This window comes from Homo sapiens, chromosome 9 (assembly GCF_000001405.40).
Source record: "Homo sapiens chromosome 9, GRCh38.p14 Primary Assembly".
In the NCBI taxonomy this organism is placed as follows: Eukaryota; Metazoa; Chordata; class Mammalia; order Primates; family Hominidae; genus Homo; species Homo sapiens.
Window position 1 is genome coordinate 6,063,725 of NC_000009.12, and position 11,266 is coordinate 6,074,990.

The 11,266-nt window shown below is 41.0% G+C and overlaps 1 long non-coding RNA gene across 1 annotated transcript, besides 2 other annotated features; it reads right to left on the reverse strand.

Annotated features, from left to right (window-relative positions):
* Positions 1 to 661: 661 nt before the first annotated feature.
* On the reverse strand, positions 662 to 4,568 carry LOC124902116 (uncharacterized). The gene is made up of 2 exons (XR_007061410.1): positions 4,430 to 4,568; positions 662 to 3,505 (listed from the first exon to the last, which is right to left on the reverse strand). It is a non-coding gene; the product is annotated as an uncharacterized LOC124902116 (long non-coding RNA).
* Positions 5,416 to 5,465: an enhancer, noted in NCBI's record as "active region_28182". NCBI's record gives its function as "activates an Ori minimal core promoter by ATAC-STARR-seq in GM12878 lymphoblastoid cells {active_cell/tissue: GM12878}" and the evidence as "EXISTENCE:reporter gene assay evidence [ECO:0000049][PMID:35858748]".
* Positions 5,476 to 5,535: an enhancer, noted in NCBI's record as "active region_28183". NCBI's record gives its function as "activates an Ori minimal core promoter by ATAC-STARR-seq in GM12878 lymphoblastoid cells {active_cell/tissue: GM12878}" and the evidence as "EXISTENCE:reporter gene assay evidence [ECO:0000049][PMID:35858748]".

Below are 11,266 nucleotides of genomic sequence, written 5' to 3' on the forward strand. Positions count from 1 at the left end.
ATCACCCACGCTGGGAGCTGTAGACTGGAGCTGTTCCTATTCGGCCATTATGGAACCTCTTTTTTCTATCAGATCTAAAAATTAGTTTTTATGAAACTTTAAGTCTCTTGGACCTCTGTTTGGGAATAGGTGAGTTTGGAGTAAGGGAATTGGCGAGAGTCAGCCAAAACCAGGTGTTAGGAAAGACAGGAGACTCTCTCTTCAGCATTTTTAGGCAAAAGGGTCAGGAAGAAAGCTGGTCTTTCCTATTATCCTTGTAAACTCTTCATGGTTTTAAAAACAGAAGACTTAATTAGTTTATTTTTAGTAACTATGACCCACTTGAAGATATTTGTTTTGAGAAATCCATTATATGTTCATTGACAAAAGAACTTTTCGGTTGTTATAAATGCATGTCCATGGAATTTAGTATTTTTGAAAAGGTCAGATAGAAAGGCTTTTTAATCCATGAATGCCTCCATATCTGCTCTAACCATGAGAGAAAAAAAAACGCCTTTAAATTGACCCTTCTTAGCATTCAGAAAACCCCTCATTTTTTACTTTTAGCAGAATAACTAAGGAAGACCTATTTTTACTTTTACAAGGACAAGTAGGAATTGCAACTTACTCTCTATCAATACAAGAGTAGTACTTTATCCTGTTGTATAAAATAAACAATTTATTAATGGTAATGCAATACAGTTTTATTTAAACCAAAAATACCTATAAGCCAATTAGTAATGCAGTCATTTAAAAATCATCTAATTAGTAAGCCGATTTTTTTTCTCCCATATCTTGTCTACCATTAAGATTCCACCATGAGGCTGGAGTCTGCAAGGGAGGATGTGACTTAAAGGAAGTGGAAAGCATGAATGTTGCCCTTTTGGGTTCCACGGGATTGTGGGGAAGAAGGGAAACAGATTGAAGAGAGATGAAGGGTGAGGATCAAGTGGCCTAGTGTCCACTCTCTGAGCTTTGACCAGAATGAGAGCATTCATGTTGAGGGGCATTGCCTTGTTCCACATTTGGGGCTCCAGAGGGAGCTTCTATACCAACTGGGAGCAGCCACAGCAGAGATCTCTGTGGCACAGCGTGATTGCATAGCGTTTGGGCCTGAGTTAAGTTTTCCTGAGTTGTCCTTGGTTTCTAGATGGCAAAGATGAAAATCCCTGTATATTGCTGAAGGGGCATGAGGAAGGTGGGCCTGCTATGGGGTCTGCTATGGTAAAAATGGCACAGCTTAGGTAGGCATCATAGCTCAGGGCTGGATAGGGAAAGGCAGTGTCTTAGAGGAGTCTTCAGCATCAGTTGAAAGCCAAGTCAAGGCTGAGCCATCTGGAAGAGCATAACCTGGTTCTGAAGAAGCTGAGGTACCACACTGCACTTCAGCAGCACTGGCCAGGAGAAGGCACAGGGATGGGGCCAGTCACCCTTGAGCACTCACCAGGGAGCACTGGGGAATAGCCACTCAATGGCAAAGACAAGCAGTGGCCCAGATGCCATCACAAGGATTTGAGGACTTCATGTCACCTCTGCTGTCATTGAACACTCAGCTATTGCCCTTGTTCTATGAACCCAGATGACAAAAAAGAGAGGCTCTGGAAGAAGGTGGTGAAAATTTGAGAGACTAAACTACTAAAAGAGATTTAGTGCTTATCTAAAGGGTTATTTAAATTATTTCAGTAGATTAAGTTTATTGGAGTGGCATAACAGTTAGTGGTTCCTCTTCCCCACAATACCTGACAAGTGGGAGCACATGAAGGGAATCTGATTCATTATTCACCGAAAAAGATATTACTGTACATGTTCTCTACACATCTGAGTGTAGTATAAGTATTTTTGAATCCTTGTTTATACAACTGCTGTAAATAAATACAAGTATTTTATGTATAGAAACTAAAGACCTTTAAAAAATCAGAACCCTGTATAATGAAAAGATTAATGAAAACTCCTTTAATGGCCTCTTCATAGTTTAAGTTTATGACTGATACTGCCTTTACTTCAGAAAAGAGATACAGATAGTTAACAACAAAATAAGAATAGCTAATGCTGACTGAGTGGTTTTTCTTTCTGCTAGGTAGAAAGATGTTTTAGATGTTCTAAAGTATATTGTTGAATCTACAAGGTAGCAGCATTGTATTATACCTATTGGACAAATGAGAGAAATGAGGCTTAGAAGGGTGGAGCAACTGGCCCAAGTTTTCATAGCTAGGAACTGGGAGAGATGGGCTACAAACCTACTTAGCTTTCATAGCCTGTGTTTTTAACCACTATGCTATCAGAATAAAAACTTAAATATCTTAGGGAAAGAGGCAACAATTATATCCAAAGAAGGCTAGCATAGTCTTCATAACCAAACCTTAAATTTAGCTTACCAAACATCCAGAGCAACTAAAACTTATCTTTGTTTATCAGATGACCAGGAACTGAACTCAAAAGGGAATTATGAAAAGTAACATTGGACATTCTGCTCGATAAAGTTTACAAAAATTTTGCCAAAGAGCTCAAGAAAATAAGCATATCTGCTAACTAAGAAAATAAAGGTAGCTTGGACTTTTTGCAATGTGTCAGATATTATGCCAGATCCTTCACATGAATTATCTTCTCTAATGCTCACAATAAATTCTCTGAAGGTAGGACTTTATTGTTCTTATTTTACAGATGGTCACTGCCAGGACCAAGATGCTGCTAATGTATACTGGAATAGCCCCATGGTTTACCTGTGATTGGCATCCATCCTGACTGGTCTGTGCCTATGCTCTCACTTGTTATACATTTTAAATATCATCTCTGTCAACTTCCAGTGAAAACGTTAGGGAGTCAAGATATGTCCTCAACCAGTGAGAGCAATCCCTGCTTTGAAAGCACTTTTGCACCAATGAAATATAAATATATAAACAAATAAATTCCAAAAATGTAAAGCCATTATTTCAAATGATTTTAAATGGCCAAACTGAATGTTTTGGCAGCTTGGTGACTTTATGGAAAAAAATAAATTGCTGATGAATTGGCAACTTGGTTAAAGTCCTTTTTTTGGGGAGTGGGAAGCAATAAAATGGGAGGATCGGAAAAGAGCAATTTATAATCATTAGGTTTGCTGTAGGTCACATTTTGTTTCTGATGTACGGTATCAAGGGATGTTTGTGGTGAATTTAAGTGCTAGGCATAACCCTGGGGCCAAGCAAATGGTGGGCAGGTATAGGAAACAGGAATTTGGCTCAGGCAGAATGAGTGGGAACTGAGGGGAGCCACTCTAGTAAGCATAAGTTCAATGAGGATGTCAAAGCAGGTCCAAGTATGGCCTGATTATCATAAGGCAAAGAAAACGAAAACAATTGAAGACATAATAAATGCCTGCTGAAGTTTTAACAGAAACGCAAGTTTTTCTCTTGGCCCTTCAACTCATGGGAGAGTCTTTTAGAAACAGCACAAGTGCGCTCTTTGCTTCTTCTTGTTTCTTCCTCCATCTTGTTGTTCAGAATGTGGATACTGAACGTGGTCCATCTTGGACCATGAAGTCAAATGTCTACAAAAGGAGCAAGAAGATAGAGAGAACTTGATCTCTGCACCAAACCATGATGCACCATACTACCTCTAGATCTCTGATATGGACTTTGATTTGGGGGGAATAAATGTCTGTGCTACCTGAACCATTATTGTGTTGGTTGTTGATCACCTGCATCTGAACTTAATCCTAACTAATAAATACCACTTACCATAGGTAAAGTTTACCAGGACGCAGACTGCAGTGAAGATTGGCATGAGGAAGTATATTAGGGGGTGCCCTTGGAATCCACAATTGTGGAAGGGAAGGAGGCAGGATTGGACAGATGGGGAAGATGAGCTGTGATGTAATCACAACAAAAGCCCCAGCTGACTACATGAGAAGCTCTCATGCTGGCATGGTCATTGAGGGTTATCCTGAGTAGGGGATAGGTAGCCCAGCCTTTATGTGCTCATGCTGACCAGCCATTCTGTGTGGGCTGCATCCAGGGAAGGGAGTGTGACTTTGGTTGAGGCAGATCTTCATAGTCAAAGAACTTCCCAAAGAGGGATGACAGCTGAGGTCTTACAGCAGGTTGGGGAACCTGTTCCTGGTAGTTGAACAGGATGGCACGGCACAGCCCCCAGTCTTAAAATAAGAACCACTTGTTCTTATTTTAAGATGATGTATTTTTGAGTTACTGATGGCTTGAAAGTGGTACTCAATCAGTTTTAATGCTTTCAGTTGCAAGTAACAGAACATCCAACTTAAAGGAAAGGGGCAAGCTTGCAGGAAAGGATCTTTAAGTCATCTACATTTGGGTATAAATGACAGCCACAGAGTATTTACCCTTTTTGGGACGTAATTTTATCAGGAGACCAAAGCTTTTAGCTAAAAACATAAATTTCAAACATTAGGACAGTCATTTTACAGAAACAAAATAAATAATTTCAAAGAAACTATTACCTTCTTAAAGACTAGACTGCGATTGTGAACCCCTGAAGTATCCACAGATCCTGAAGAGTGCCCAGCTGTCTTGACAAGGAAACGGAGAGTCAAGAAGTTTAGTGAGGTCAACAAGAATCCTGCAGCATCTCATCTTCCAGATCTGCAGCAGCCTGTGTTGCAGTCCTACTAAGCTGAAGGCTTAACCATGTCTGCCAGTTCAGGGTACGGAACCCTGGTTACTATTTACTTTCCTTCTTTCTTCCTATAGTGGATATTCTCCTTCAGTGGCCACACAACATCAAAGATTCGCCTTCATTTTTGTATTTTCTACATTGTGTGTACTACCTTCTCAATGTAGAAGCCAGAAAACTTACACATGCTCAGATTCCTGTGTAGTTATAGTGCAATCATGTGACCTATTTTCTATGAATCATATGTATCCACATGAGACCAGGATTTCTTCAAGGGCAGTGTGACGAGATAGTCACAGACAGCGGGAGTGATCTTCTGGTACTTTATCCTGAGCATTATAGATGTTTAATGACAATGACAGTGACATTCCCCCAAAAGCACCCGCACCCCCGCCTTACCCAAAGTGTGGTCTGGGCACTGGGTTTGGCTATGTGGCCTCAGAGTCTGGCCTCTGATCCTCCCAGAGAATCTGTGAGCTATCAGTTATTGTTTAATGAATCTCTCCACCTTATTTTTTTCTTAGACTAGCTAGAAAGGATTCTGTTGTTTGCAGGCTAACAATATACTCCTGAAAGGCAAATACAGTCAGTAAAGGCCCATATCAGCCAAATCCCACCTTACATGTATTAGTATATTCTGAATTTTTCACTCATTAATATCCTGACTTCTGCTTTAAATCTATAGCCTTAACCTTGCACCACATGTCTTACATTCACTTTCTCTTTCCTATAAGGAAGTGGTGCTAACTGAATGACATGGGTGTCAGCAGAACATGCTGTGGCTTCACAACAATGGTTTGTAATATTATGAGATAGCTTTGTTCCTTTTCCTTTTTGTTTCTGATCTGTTTTTGTTTTTCAGGGAGATGAAATTGCTAAGGTAATCTTCAAAGGCAAGGCATCAAAATGGTCCTTTTTTTTTTTTTTTTTTTTTTTTTGAGACAAGTTCTTGCTCTGTTACCCAGGTTGGAGTGCAGTGATGTGATCATAGCATAATAATGCAGCCTCAGCCTGCTGGGCTCAAGTGATCCTCCCACCTCAGCCTCCCAAGAGCTAGGACTACATGTGTGCGCTAATTTTTTAATTTTTATTTTTGTAGAGTTGGGGGGGTCTTGTTATGTTGTCCAGGCTCATATAAAATCTTAGCCACTAGAAATACCATTTATGGCCAAAACCACATATCAAGGACTTGACCGCCCTTTCCCTACATGGGTGTTTCCCTGAACTGTTTTTTTTTGCTGTTGTTGTTTTGGAGACAGAGTCTCTGTTGCCCAGGCTGGAGTGCAGTGGCACAATCACGGCTCACTGCAACTTCCACCTCCTGGGCTGAAGCCGTTCTCCTGCCTCAGCCTCCCGAGTAACTGGGATTACAGGCCCGTGCCACCACACCCAGCTAAATTTTGTGTTTTTTTTGTAGGGATGGGGTTTCACCATGCTGCCCAGGCTGCTCTCGAACTCCTGAGCTCAAGTGATCCACCTGCCTCAGCCTCCCAAAGTGCTAGGATCATAGGTATGAGCAACCATGCCCGGCCCTGAACTGTTCTTAACCTTCAAAATAGCGAACAACGACCACTTCTAGCCTGACACCCAGTCCACAGGGAGACTCATGACTGTCTGCTCTCTTATTACTTAACAGCGATTGATTTTGAGATTGGGCAATGTTATGGGGATTGACTTATTGAGAATATTTTCTGACGTTTTCTTTTTTTGGAACTGCTTTAGAAGTGATAATGTGAACATTCTCCAATGACACATGCTTTTGCTGCTGCAATTATACAAGCGCAAACAACTGTTGCACTTGGATGTGCCCAGGACCTACAGTCTTCCTCTTTGTGCATGATATGTGGGAGCTCAGGCATGGAGAAAAATATCAGAAAATCAAAGTTCTGATGGGCTTTGAGAGGGCCAGGTTAATATACTTTTAGTTTTACTTCTGTTAAGATTAGGTTAAAAGTTCCATATTATCATCATCTTTAAGTGCTAATTATTTACAAGATTTCAATGAAGAATTCTAACAGAAGAATCCATATTTAAGATCTGCAGTAGACTGAATTAAAGGCCTAAATTCTTCATCTTTTCCTGTATCCATGCCATTTGCCACCTAACTTTTCAGTTTCTCCCTCTAAAGCAGGGTTTCTTAGTCTCAGCACTATTGACATTGGGGCTGGATAATTCTTTAATGTGGAGAGCTGTACTGGGCATTGTAGGATGTTTAACTGCATCCATGGCTTCTGCCTAATGGATATCAGTATATTACTCACCACCTGCGATTGTGACAACCAAAAATGCCTCTAGACATTGCCAATATCCTCCCGTGGGGGACAGAATCTCCTCTAGCTGGGAACTACCACTCTAAAGATGGGTAGTTCTCACACTGACTTCGGACTCAAGCAATGTAACTTTCTGTGTCAAAGAAAAACTTGAAATATGTTTGTGTAGTGAAGCTTGCTCTCTTGTGCCTCTTATATCACCATGAGCAGAATGTCTCCAGGGAAGCTGCTCTGTCTTCATTCTGAGCCCTAGAATGAAGCATCTGGGGCACAGCCACCTTGGCTGATTCAAGAAGTGTGTATCTGAAGAAGTATGATCCAAAGAAGTAGGACCACCCCAGCTACCAAGTCCTGAAGTAGAGTTGTTTCATCCAACTTCAGACATGTGAGAAATAGATGGACATTGTATGCCACTGAGATTTTGTGGTTGTTTGTTATGCGGCAAAAGCTGACTGATACAGACCACTTAGCCAAAGTAAAGTATATTCAACTCTTAGTTATATTTATTGGATTTTTTAGTTGCTTACTATGTCTTGAGACTCTCCCTCACTCCTGTTTCCTTCCCTGATTGTAGCTAATCCTCTCTGTCAAGGATGCTTCTGCTTCAAACTAATCCTTCCAGCTCTCTTTTGAGAGATACCTGCAACCACTTGACCACCTACTTGATGTGAATTTAGGCAATGAACTTGGATTGTTTGTCCTTTTAGTATTGAATTTTATAGGGATTCTTTATACGTTCTGGATACAAATCCTTTGTCAGATATATAAATTGCAAATATTTTCCCCAATCTGTTGCATTTTTTCAGTTTAATAGCATCTTCTGATGAGCAAAAAGTAAAAGTAATTTTGATGAACCTAATCTATCTTTTTTTGTCTTTTCTGGTTAGAGCATTTTTTGTTCTAAAAAAGCTTTGCCTAGATTGCAAAGATATTCTCCTCTCTTTTCTTGTTTATAGTTGTAGCTTTAGTGTTTAGCTTCTATAGATTAACTTCATAGTCTTAGCTTTTGTATTAGGGCTATGAGCTACCTTGAATTAATTTTTGTGAATGGTGTGTGTTGTGGGTCAAGATTAATTTTCATTCATGTAAATACCCAGTTTTAGTAAATTTTAATATAATATCTTATGTTATTGAAAAAAGCAGGATGTAAAATATATACTGTAGGGTCAGAACCATTTTTAATCTTATTTAAAGAAATAGGAAATAAATGCAATCAGATTAATAGACGTTGTCATTGGTAGGACTTCGGGTGAGTTTTTTCTTCTTCCTACTTTTCTGTATTTTCCAGTTTTCTATTCTAAAGTTATATTAATGTAATAATTTGGAGAAAAGCTCTAGTTTTCTTTTCTTTTCTTTTTTTTGAGACAGAGTTTTGCTCTTGTCACCCAGGCTGCAGTGCAATGGCACAATCTCGGCTCACTGCAACTTCTGCCTCCCAAATTCAAGGAATTCTCCTGCCTCAGCCTCCTGAGTAACTAGAATTACAGGTGTGCACCACCACGTCTGGCTAATTTTTGTATTTGTAGTAGAGATGGGGTTTCACCATATTGGTCAGGCTGGCCTTGAACTCCTGACCTCAGGTGATCCACTCACCTCAGCCTCCCAAAGTGCTGGGATTACAGGCGTGAGCCACCATGCCTGGCCGAAATTGCAAGAACCTTTAAGGTGATCCCCCACAAACTGGAGCTAGGATTAAGGTGGTTCCTCAGGCCTTTGTTCTGCCTACAATGTTCATGAGAGTTGCTTTCTAGGTTTGATTGCTGCTCAAACATTCAAAATCTGAAATAGCAAAGAAAGAAAAAAGAGGAAATCTATTCCAAAGCAGCTACTGTAACTGAAAGTTGAATGCATGCTGAGAAACAGTATTATAATTTGATATAATTTGATATTTCAGCCTTATTTATTCTGAATTCCTAAAGCTTTGTAGGTATCCAATGCATTATGAAAAAATATTATTTACCTAGAAGCCTAGGGTGCCAAAGGGTATACCTTCTGTGTTTTATTTGGCCTGTGGACAGGGGAAATATTACATAATTCTGTAACTAAGGCCATCTCTCTGCAACTTCTCCATAGCATTCTGTGTCCTTGACCTTTACATAGTGGGCTGTACTGTCCCTGTCACAATGCTTGTGCATTATTCTTCTCTCAACCAGACCTCCTTATTTACTCCTAAGTAGCTAACTCTTATATTAATATACTGTCTCTAAACCCCATTCACTCCACCCAGACCTTTGCCCCTTCCTTTCCTCCTAGACCACATGGTTAGTTATTTCTAGTAGATTTGTTCTATTACCACAACTACCTTTCCTCCTATAGTTTCCTCCTTGACAGTGCTAGCTTCCAGAAAACATTTTGCTACACAGCCTTGTAACATTGTCACCTGTCATATTACAACTGATATGGGAGTGCTGAGAAGCGAAGAGCATCGTCCCTTTAAATGACACGGAAGCGGAAGCGGGGAAGGGAAGTGCTGGGTAGAGTAGGGCGTGGTCCCTGGCTAGGGATCCACCCCCAAGGACCTAGCGAAGGACAGGCACTCCTGCCTTGGAGCCTAAATGTTGCATTTCCCAAGACCACCCTGGCCTGCCATGCCCCATTCTGTGCCTATAAAAACTTGAGACCCTAGCAGGCACACACACACAAGTGGCTGGACAGAAGAAGACACAAATAGCTGGTCATGGAGAGCACGCCGCAGAAGAGCATGCTGACAGGCACCAGCAGGCCATCAACCAGCAGAAGACGAAGTTTGGCCAGAGCGGTTGGAAAAGGGTCCAGCGGCAGGACTCCAGGGAAAAACCGTCTCCCTTCTGACTCCCCGATCTGCTGAGAGCTACTTTCACTCAATAAAACCTTGCACTCATTCTCCAAGCCCACATGTGATCTGATTCTTCCGGTACACCAAGGCAAAAACCCCAGTGATACAGAAATCCCTCTGTCCTTGTGATAAGGAAAGGGGTGTAATTGAGAAGGTTAACACAATCCGCCTATAGACAGCAAACTAAGAGAGCGCCCTGTAACACACGCCCACTGGGGCTTCAGCTGTAAACATTCACCCCTAGACACTGCCATGGGGTCAGAGCCCCACAGCCTGCCAGTCTGTGTGCTCCCCTAGAGGTTTGAGCAATGGGGCGCTGAAGAAGTAAGCCGCACCCCCATTGCATGCCCTGCGAGGGGGACAAGGGAAACTTTCCTGTTTCACAACCAGAAAACAAATGGCATTGTAGGTAACATGGGAAGAATTAGTAAATAAAAATCAACAGAACTGCAGTTCTATAGAGAATCTGACTAACCAGGATAGATTGTTTCCAGAAAGCATCAAATTTCAGAAATATGTAATCTGGGCAATGAGAACAAAGACAGCTTTAAAAATATAAGGCAGGAAAAGTAGGATATCATATAAAGGTGGGTCATGTAGGGAAAATTTGGGAAAGACTCCAATGTCTGAGTGTCTTCAGTGGAAAATTAGGCCTCATTTAGCACATAACCTCCAGGTTATCTGATTCTATGAGGTTTGTGCCTTTTTATTATCTTTGAGCCATTTTATAACTGTAAATTTAGACAATGACTAGCGATGCAAATTATTCTTGTTCCTGTTGTGCAAACGAGTTCTGTCTAGTGGAGTGACAATTGTTTTCCCTACCCCTGTCCCATGTGGAATAAGCCAGTTTTACTTTATTTGTTAATTCATTTCAGTATTCTTAAGTGTCTGTATATATGTGTGTGTGTATGGCTCTTAGAATTCTCCTTTGAACTGGTTGTCATGACTTACTGGTCCCTTGGATAAGAGTAAAATAAGGCTGGGCACAGTGGCTCATACCTCTAATCCCAGCACTTTGGGAGGCCAGGATCACTTGAGGCTAGGAGTTCAAGACCAGCCTGGGCAACACAGCAAGACCCTGTCCCTACAAAAAAAAAATTTGGCTGGGTGCAGCAGCACCTACCTGTAGTCCTAGCTACTTGGAAGGCTGAGGCAGGAGGATTGCTTGAGCACAGGAGGTCGCGGCTGCAGTGAGCCTTGATTATGCCACTGCACTCCAGGCTCAGCAACAGAGTCAGATCTTGTCTCAAAAAAAAAATAAGAAAGTAAGTAAAATTTTGACAACGTTTATTTTATATTTGTATGAGTCATTATTCTGCCTTTAAAAAATATCTTTTAACAATAATTTAAAGACATTAGTTAAAAAATAAATTTAGGAACTGTGACAATAGGGTCTTCCTTGCACAAATGGGCCTAGCAGAAATCATGGCAAAATGCAAGTCCCAGTTTGAATCTGGGAACTTCGTTTCCACTCCAATTAGGTGCCAGAACCCTGAGTTAGTGGAGAAATGCCATGTACTCAAGAACTCAGATTTGGGGGCATTATGTGGGATACCTGGCCACTCCACTTTGCATT